Source organism: Homo sapiens, chromosome 12 (genome assembly GCF_000001405.40).
Source record: "Homo sapiens chromosome 12, GRCh38.p14 Primary Assembly".
In the NCBI taxonomy this organism is placed as follows: domain Eukaryota; kingdom Metazoa; phylum Chordata; class Mammalia; order Primates; family Hominidae; genus Homo; species Homo sapiens.
The window spans coordinates 64,222,003-64,231,300 of NC_000012.12; the positions used below are offsets into that span (position 1 = coordinate 64,222,003).

The 9,298-nt window shown below is 41.4% G+C and overlaps 1 protein-coding gene, 1 long non-coding RNA gene and 1 pseudogene across 4 annotated transcripts in view, besides 5 other annotated features; 1 reads left to right on the forward strand and 2 right to left on the reverse strand.

Moving 5' to 3' along the window:
* Positions 1-294, reverse strand: part of KICS2 (KICSTOR subunit 2) — a 35,981-nt gene extending 35,687 nt beyond the window's left edge. For 2 of the 3 annotated variants that reach the window (NM_001300940.2, NM_152440.5), the window contains exon 1: positions 1-294. In NM_001300940.2, coding sequence (NP_001287869.2) covers positions 1-235 — 235 coding nt within the window. In that variant the 5' untranslated portion in view covers positions 236-294. The other variant, NM_001300941.2, reaches the window with a different exon arrangement.
* Positions 8-67: an enhancer, noted in NCBI's record as "active region_6588". NCBI's record gives its function as "activates an Ori minimal core promoter by ATAC-STARR-seq in GM12878 lymphoblastoid cells {active_cell/tissue: GM12878}" and the evidence as "EXISTENCE:reporter gene assay evidence [ECO:0000049][PMID:35858748]".
* Positions 102-696: an enhancer, noted in NCBI's record as "H3K27ac hESC enhancer chr12:64615884-64616478 (GRCh37/hg19 assembly coordinates)". NCBI's record gives its function as "activates a minimal SCP1, AML or CMV promoter by ChIP-STARR-seq in naive H9 embryonic stem cells {active_cell/tissue: H9 hESC(naive)}" and the evidence as "EXISTENCE:reporter gene assay evidence [ECO:0000049][PMID:30033119]".
* Positions 178-267: an enhancer, noted in NCBI's record as "active region_6589". NCBI's record gives its function as "activates an Ori minimal core promoter by ATAC-STARR-seq in GM12878 lymphoblastoid cells {active_cell/tissue: GM12878}" and the evidence as "EXISTENCE:reporter gene assay evidence [ECO:0000049][PMID:35858748]".
* LOC124902952 (uncharacterized) lies at positions 347-7,236 on the forward strand. Its single transcript, XR_007063347.1, has 2 exons — positions 347-541; positions 5,872-7,236. It is a non-coding gene; the product is annotated as an uncharacterized LOC124902952 (long non-coding RNA).
* Positions 418-607: an enhancer, noted in NCBI's record as "active region_6590". NCBI's record gives its function as "activates an Ori minimal core promoter by ATAC-STARR-seq in GM12878 lymphoblastoid cells {active_cell/tissue: GM12878}" and the evidence as "EXISTENCE:reporter gene assay evidence [ECO:0000049][PMID:35858748]".
* Positions 688-747: an enhancer, noted in NCBI's record as "active region_6591". NCBI's record gives its function as "activates an Ori minimal core promoter by ATAC-STARR-seq in GM12878 lymphoblastoid cells {active_cell/tissue: GM12878}" and the evidence as "EXISTENCE:reporter gene assay evidence [ECO:0000049][PMID:35858748]".
* On the reverse strand, positions 6,558-6,673 carry RNU5A-7P (RNA, U5A small nuclear 7, pseudogene; annotated as a pseudogene).
* Positions 7,237-9,298: the final 2,062 nt, after the last annotated feature.

Here is a 9,298-nt window from a genome sequence, read left to right on the forward strand (position 1 = left end):
CTAGTTTCTGCCCCAGGTAGGTGAGGCTGTGATAGACCTTCTCGGCCGCGGCCAGGTGCGCCAAGGCCGCCAGCAGCGACAGCCAGCTGCCCCCCGCGCTCTTGTTGGCCTCTCGTTCCTTCTCCACATTGTCCTTAGCCTTGTCGTAAGAGAAGATACCCAGGTGAGAGAAGAACGTCTCCAGCACCGCCTGTTCCACCGGGACCGGGGCGGCCAGCGGGATAGACTCCCCCATGCGAGCTGCGCCCCAGCTCGACCCACGTGGCTCTCCTCGGCCTCGCACTTCCGGGTTCTGAGGGAACGGGCTTGCGCACAAGCGTGCGTGCGCGTGACCGCCTCCACCGGCGGACTCGTGAGCGCGCCGCTGCCGGGACCGCTCCTGGGCCTTAGAGAAGACGCGGATAAGGGCCAAGGAAAGAGGGAGGTAGCGGTTGCTGAGCTCCTTCGGCGCTTCGGCTCCTGTAGCTCTGACTATTCGGACCGTCAAGGTAGAATAGGAGGCGGCCAGTTCCCCGCTCTAAGAAGTTGCCTGCGCTCTGAGGTGAGCTGACAGGCCCCTCTCTGTGTGGTTCGTCAGCGCTGGTGACGTCATGCAAACGTGACGTCAGCCCTGGCCAGAACATCTGGCCTGGGCTCTCCAGGCACCTCGCTGGGCCGGCTGGGAGATGGGGAAGTGCCTGGAGTTGTGCCCACACTCACAGCAGGGACCCTAGTCAGCCCTGACACCTTCTACACCAACTCATGGAAGTGATTTGCTGAGATTAGAAGACTGACGGGTAAAGGTTGATCTCCTTCCCATTGCCTAGTTTTCATCACATCACACACCACCGGTTAACTCTCACCTGTATCCCGTTCTAGTTCTCCCGGGTCTGTGTTAGCCCTGCAACTAATAAGTAGAGCCCCTGGCCCAAACTGCATTAACCTTCCTTAAAAAGTTATCTTTTTTTTTTCTTTTTTTTTGAGACGGAGTCTCGCTCTGTCGCCCAGACTGGAGTGCAGTGGTGAGATCTCGGCCCACTGCAGCCTCCACCTCCCGAGTTCAAACGATTTTCCTGCCTCAACCTCCCTAGTAGCTGGGATTACAGGCCAGCGCCACCACACCTGGCTAATTTTCGTATTTTTAATAGAAACAGGGTTTCACCATGTTAGCCAGGCTGGTCTCAAACTCCTGGCTCAAGCAATCTTCCCACCTCAGCCTCCCAAAGTTTTGGGATTACAGGTGTGAGCCACCACCCCTGGCCAGAATGAAGAATACATTAATGTAAATTGTGCACGTTGTCATTTAGAATAATTACAAGTTCCTTTGGCATTTAAGAAACCCCATGAACCCGGCTCATACTTGTATGTCCACTACTTTGAAACACTACCCACTACTCAATAGTTTTTTCCTTTCTTCTTTGTGCATACTTATTTTATGCTTCTTAGTCACACTATTTAATCGCATATATTTACATATCTCTTTCCCCAAGTGGTGAGATCCCTAGGGTACAGTAGGGTTCACTTACAGTTATAATCTTTTCATATTGGACGGCGCAGCCATGTTTGTTGAACAAATGAGAGAATTGCCTATTTTCGTTTTTTCTCAAACTAGAGCTGTTCTGCCATCATCACTACCTTTTAAAGGAAATCCCACTAATCTAATTTTAATGAATAGGTATTGTGCACCTGTTCCCTATACTCAAGAATGTAATTGGATAAGATCAACCCTGTTAACAATGATACAAGGCAGTTTTTTTTTTTTTTGGTTGTTTTATTTTGTTTTGTTTTTGGACAGGGTCTCACTCTTTCCCCCAGGCTGGAGTTTTCCCCAGGCTGGAGTGCAGTGGCATGACCTCGGCTCACCGCAACCTCCGCTTTCCAGGCTTTAGTGATTCTCCTGCCTCAGCCTCTGGAGTAGCTGGGATTACAGGCCAGTGCCACCACACCTGGCTAATTTTCGTATTTTTAACAGAATTGGGGTTTACACCATGTTGGCCAGGCTGGTCTTAAAATCCTGACTTCAAATGGTCTGCCCGCCTCGGACTCCCAAAGTGCTGGGATTACAGGCATGAGCCACTGCGCCCAGCTTCAAGGAAGATTTTTTTTTTTTTTTTTTTTTTGAGACAGAGTTTTGGTCTTGTTGCCCAGGCTGGAGTGCAGTGGAGCCATCTCAGCTCACTGCAACCTCCACCTGCCGGATTCAAGTGATTTTCCTGCCTAAGGCCAGCCTCCAGAGTAGCTAGGATTACAGGCATGTGCCACCACGCCCTGCTAATTTTGTATTTTTAGCAGAGACGGGGTTTCTGCATGTTGGTCAGGCAGGTCTGGAACTCCCGACCTCAGGTGATCCTCCCGCCTCAGCCTCCCAAAGTACTGGGATTGCAGGCGTGAGCCACCGCGCCTGGCCAAGGCAGATTTTTAAACATGACAAAGGTGAAAGACAGAGAGTGAAGGGAGCAATCATACCATTTTGGAAGAATTAAGGAGGCTTCCTGGAGGAGAGTGTGATGATTCTTGATGAATAAATAGAGGTAATCAAAAAAAAGTGTGGTACTATCACCAAAACCAATAGACAATAAAAGAGATTATAAAACTCATAAACATACCCACATAATATAAGAATTCCTTAGGTAATGAAGGTGACATTATAAATTAGTGGGGAAGAAACATACTCAATTAGTAGTGAAGGAAATATGCTTAACCATGGGAAAATAGACTGTCACCTTGTTTCCTGAAGAAAAAAAAAGTGTAAAACACAAAACCAGAAACCAGAAAAAATACAAGTGACTAATTGATCTAAAGATAGAGAAGGACCTTCTAAATATAAAAGAATTGGAAGAACTTAAAAAGGATGAGATTGATTTGACTGTATAAAATACCTAATGTAGATGACGGGTTGATGGGTGCAGCAAACCACCATGGCACATGTATACCTATGTAACAAACCTGCCCCATGTATCCCGAAACTTAAAGTATAATAATTAAAAAAAAATGACATCCTGGGAAAAAGATATCTGTAATGTATGTCAGACAAAGGTTTAATGTACTTAACATATCAAGATCTCTTACTAACCAACAAGAATAAAAGGACATGAATATATAAGTCCCAAAAGAAATATAAAACTCAAGTAATTCTTTTTTAATGCTCAACCTCACTAGTAATCAAAGAAATGCAAAATAAACTATATTCTATGTTTCATCTACCAAACTAGCAAAAGAAACTGTTTAATTTTATTTCAATGGTTTTGGGGGTACAGGTGGTTTCTATAGGAATAAGCTCTGTAGTACTGATTTCTGAGAGTTTTGGTGCACCTATCACCTGAGCAGTGTACACTATACCCAGTGTGTGGTCTGTTATCTCTCACCCCTCTCCCAACCTTCCCTGCGAGTCCCCAAAGTCCATTATATCATGCTTATGCCTTTGCATTCTCATAGGTTAGCTCCCAAAAGAAACATTTTAATTGCTGATAAATGTGCAATAAACATCTCCCCATTTTCCCCACCCCCAAGACCCTGGCAATCATGATTCTACTCTCTGCTTCTATGAGTTCAACTTTTTTAGATTCGCCATATAAGTGAGGTCATAGAATATTAGTCTTTCTGTGTCTGGCTTATTTCACTTAATGTAACATCCTCCAGGTTTATCCATGTTGTCACAAATGTCAGAATTTCCTTACTTTTTATGGGTAAGTATTCCATTGTCTTGTATTTACTACATTTTGTTTATCTCTTCACTCATTGACAGACACATTGTTTCTGTATCTTGACTATTGTGAGTAATCCTTTGGATATAAATGCAGAAGTGGAATTGCTGGATCGTATGATAGTTCTATTTTTAATTTTTTGAGGAACCTCCATACTATTTTTCTGTAATGGCTGTATCAATTTATATTCCCACCAGCAGTGTACAAGGGTTCCTGTTTCTCTACACCCTCAGCAACACTTGTTATTGCTTATCCTTTTTTTTTTTTTTTTAATAGAGACAGTCTTGCTGTGTTGCTTAGGCTGGTCTCAAACTTTTAGTGTCAAGCGGTCCTCCCACCTCAGCCTCCCAAAGTGCTGGAATTACAGGCATGAGCCACCCCGCCTGGCCATTTTTTCGATAATAGCCATTCTAACAGGTGTGAGGTGATATCTTATGGTTTTGACTTGCATTTTCATGATGATTAGTTATGTTGAGTTTGTTTTAATGTATCTGTTGGCTATTTTTATGTCTGCTTTGGAAAACTGTCTATTCGCATCCTTTGCCCAATTTTTAATTGGGCAATTTGTTTTCTTGCTCTTGAGTTGTATGAGTTCCTTACGTATTTTGGATATTAACTCCTTACCAGATATATGGTTTGCAAATATTTTCTCCCATTGCATAGGTTACCCTTTCATTTTGTTGATTGTTTCCTTTGCTATGCAGAAGCTTTTTAGTTTGATGTAGTCCAACTTGTTTATTTTTGCTTCTGTTGCCTATACTTTGGGTGCATATCTGAAAAATCATTGCCAAGACCAATGGCAAGTGGCTTTCCCCTTATATTTTTTTCTAGGAGTTTTATAATTTCAGGTCTGATATTTAAGTCTTTAACCCATTTCAATATAATTTTTGTGGAGGGTGTAAAGTAAGGGTATAATTTTACCCTTTTGCAGGTAATCTACCTTAGATACCTAGTTTTTCCAACACTATTTATTGAAGAGACCATCCTTTACCTATTGTGTATTCTGGATGCCCATGTCAAAGATTAGTTGACCATATATGTGTGGGTTTATTTTTAAGCTCTGTATTCTTTTCCATTGGTCTCTGTCTGTTTTTATGCCAGTACTACACTGTTTTGATTAGAATAGCTCTGTAATATAATTTGAAAACAGGGAGTGTGATATCTCTAGCTTTGTTGTTGTTTCTCAAGATTGCCTTGATTGGCCAGGTGCGGTGGCTCACGCCTGTAATCCCAGCACTTTGGGAGGCTGAGGTGGGCAGATCATGAGGTCAGAAGATCGAGACCATCCTGGCTAACACAGTGAAACTGTGTCTCTACTAAAAATACAAAAAAATTAGCCAGGTGTGGTGATGGGTGCCTGTAATCCTAGCTCCTCAGGAGGCTGAGGCAGGAGAATGGCATGAACCCGGGAGGCGGAACTTGCAGTGAGCCGAGATTGCGCCACTGCACTCCAGCCTGGGCAACAGAGCGAGACTCTATCTCAAAAAAAAAAAAAAAAACCAGATTGTCTTGATTATGTGAGGACTTTTGTGGTTCCATATGAATTTTGGGATTGTTTATTTCTATGAAAAAAATGCCATTGGAAGTTTGATAGAGATCACATTGAATCTAGACTGCTTTGGGGAGTATAGATATTTTAACAATACTAATTCTTCAATCTGTGAACATATCTTTATTTGTATCTTCATTTTCTTTCATCAATGTCTTATTGTTTTTAGCGTACAGATTTTTCACCTCCTTGGTTAAATTTATTCGTAATTATTGTATTGTTTTTGATGCAATTATAAATGAGATGTTTTCTTAATTTCTTTTTTAGGTAGTTTATTGTTAGTGTGTAGAAATGCAACCAATTTTCATTTGTTGATTTTGTATCCTGCAACTTTGCTGAATTGGTTTGTTCTAATTTCTTTCCTTCTTTCTTTCCCTCTTTCTTTCTTTCTCTCTTTCTTTCTTTCTCTTTCTTTCTTTCTCCTTCCTTCCTTCCTTTTCAATCTCTTTCTCTCTCTCTCTCTCTTTCTTTTGAGACAGGGTCTCGCTCTGTCATCCAGACTAGAGTGCAGTAGCATAATCACAGCTCACTGCAGCTTTAACCTCCTGGGCTTAGGCAATCCTCCCACCTCAGCCTCTGAAGTAGCTGGGACTACAGGCCCACGCCACCACACTCGGCTAATTTTTTTATTTTTTGTAGAGACAGGTGCCGCTGTGTTGCCTAGGATGATCTCAAACCGCTAAGCTCAAGCAATCCTCCTGCGTCGACTTTCCAAAGCGCTGGAATTATGGGCGTGAGCCACTGTGCCCAGGTGGGTTTTCTATATATCAGATTATGTCATATGCAGAGATAATTTAACTTCTTTTCTGATTTGGATGACTTTTATTTCTTTTTCTTGCCTAATTACTCTGGTATATTCCTTCTTTAAATTGTTGAGAGTTTTTATCATGAAAGATGTTGAATATTATTAAATGCTTTTTCTTGCATCTACTGAATTGATCATATGATTTTTATACTTTGTTTAGTTAATGTGAAATATTGCATTAGTTGATTTGCCTATGTTGAACTATCCTTGCATCTCAGGAATAAATCCTACTTGATCTTAGTGTATGATACTTCTAATGTGGCATTGAATTTTGTTTGCTAATATTTTGTTGAGGATTTTTGCCTGTAGAGCCAGAAGTCAGGGATATTGACCTATAATTTTCTTTTCTTTGTAGTTATCTTTATCTGGCTTTGATGTGAGGGTAATGCTGGCCACATAAAATGAGTTTGGAAGTGTTCCTTTCTCTTCAGTTTTAAATGCTTGGTAGAATTCACCCATGAAGCTATCTGGTCTGGGCTTTTCTTTTTTTTTTCCTTTCCTTTCTTTTTTGTTTTTTACTAGCCCTGCCAAAGGAAGACCTCAAAAAATTAGCTAAAAAGTCAGAGTCTTTCCTCTCCATAGGAATCTTGAGTAAAAGGTGAAAAATTTATGTGACCTGAAAACAAGCCAGAATATTGCTGGGTTTTTCTCTATTGGGAAGTTTTTGGTTACTGGATCAATCTCCTTACTCATAATTGGTCTGTTCAGATTTTCTGTGTCTTTGTGATTCAGTCTTGGTAAATTGTATGTTTCTACAAATTAGAGTACTACCTTGAACTTAACAGATGTTCATTAAATATTTAATTGACTGATTCTTCTTGTCTCATAAGAATGATATAAGAAAATACATAGTGTTAATGTCATGTCAAGCCGTTAAAACGTTAAAGTTATAATGTGAGAAGTTACTTTGAATGGTTCAGCCCATGAGCAGGGTATTTTGTATAGCAGCAATAACTATTTGTTTATTTTTATTTTTTTAGGGACAGGGTCTTGCTATGTTGCCCAGGCTGGTGTCAAACTCCTGGACACAAGTGATCCTCCTGCCTTGGCCTTCCAAAGTGCTGGGATTACAGTCATGAGCCACCACACCTGGCTCATTATTTGTTATTGGTAACATATTAGATATCTATTGCTGCATAATGAATAACCCCAAAACATAGTGGCTTAAAACAATAAAAATCATTTATTATCTCTCACAATTTCTGTGAGTTGGGAATTCAAAAGTAGATCAGTTGGGCGGTTCTATGTCAGTCTCTTATAAAGTTTCAGTCAGATGTTGGCAAGGGTTGTAGTCATCTAAAGTCTGGTCTGGAGCTGGAGAATCCCCTTCCACAGTGGCTCTTTCACATTCTTGGCAGCTTGGCATGAGCTATTGGCCACACGGGGCTCTCCACAGGACGGCTTGAGTGGCCTCACAGCATGGTCACTGGCTTATCCTGGAGCAAGTGGTTCAGAGACCAAAGCAGGAGCTGCAATGCCTTTTATCACTTAGCCTCAGAATTCACACATCACCTCTGCCATATTCAGAGCCACCCTCGACTGAATTTGAGCAGGAGACTAGTGAAGCACCTGAATGCTAGGAAGCAAGCATCCCTGGAGGTTATCCTAGAGGCTGGCTTCCACAGGTGATGACATTTTCAGCATAGAGAATTATTTGTCTTCTAAAAATATGTAAGGATGGAAGCCTTAACTGCTCCTTCAGTAATATTTTATTACTCAAGAAACTGTTTCTTAATTTCTGGCAAAACCTCTCTTAAGTCTAGAAAAACAACTCTGCTCAAGACCATTGATTTGGTATTGCTCTTCAGAGGTCTTTGAAAATAACCCTCGTGACAATGCCAGTGAAAAAAACATTTTAGTTATAACAACCCATTTTGGGGACAAAAGGACTTTAAGAACAAAGCAAGGCATTCATTCTTTCATTTATTCAATAAACAATGGACTACATTTAAAATGTTTTTAGAGACGAGGTCTTGCTCTGTCACCCAGGCTGGAGCGCAGTGCTGTAATCATAGCTCACTGCAGCCTCGCTCCTGGGCTCAAGTGATCCTGATCCTGCTTCAGCCTCCTCTGTAGCTAGGACTATAGGCACATGTCATCGTGCCTGGCTGATTTTTAAATTTTATTTTTTAGAGCTAGGGTCTTGCTATGTTGCCCAGGCTTGTCTTAAACTCCTGGCCTCAAGCAGTCCTTCCACCTCAGCCTTCCAAAGTTCTGGGATTACAGGCATGAGCCACTGTACTGGCTTGGATGAAATTTCATTTGTGGCCAATATATACAAAGTAACATATTCCAAAAATGATTTTACAGTTTGTGATTATGCCAGTTAATTACTACCTAAAGTTGATATTATTTGGGCTTACTTCCCTTTTCCCGATCAATTTTCTGGATGTGACACTAACAGTAAAACTATCATTGATACAGCACTTACTATGTGCCAAGTACTTTATACATCTTTTAATATAGTGTTTTCTTAGTCTTTGAGATGAGGTCTCACTATGATGCCCAGGCTGATCTTGAACTCCTGAGCTCAAGCAGTCCTCCCGCCGTGGTGTCCCAAAGTGTTAGAATTACAGGCATGAGCCACCACGCCCGGCCAAGTGCTTTATATATGACTTATCTTCTTGTAAGTCTTCAAGGTAGGTGTACTTTTAACCACTTGATTATGAAGAAATGGGGGCTCCAAAAAATTAAGTAACTTGTCCAAATACACAGAACTAGTAACTAATAAGGCTAAGATGCAAACCAAGGTTTGTGTAGCTTTCCTCCGTAAACCTGGCTGCTGTTAGTGAGTTGTCCACACACACACAGGCCTCCCACCTGAGTAGTAAGAGATTTCCACTTGTTATTCAGGCAATGTCAAATTGTTTCTGCAGTTATCTTTCTTACTGTATCAACAGTGTGATTGAAAGATACTGTTTCAGGGAGAAGTCTTCTTTGGCTTACCAAGAATCAAATATTTGACACAGAACAAACGTTTTCATTTTTTTTTTTTTTCAGATCATTTGCCAAAAGTACCACACAATTAGCAATACATTATTACATTTTTTTTTTTTTGAGACAGAGTTTCACTCTGTCACCCAGGCTGGATGCAGTGGCATGGTCTCGGCTCACTGCAACCTCTGTCTCCTGGGTTCAAGCAATTCTCCTGCTTCAACCTCCTGAGTAGCTGGGATTACAGGCATGCACTACCACGCCCAGCTAATTTTTGTATTTTTAGTAGAGACAGGGTTTCACCATGTTGGCCAGGCTGGTTACAAA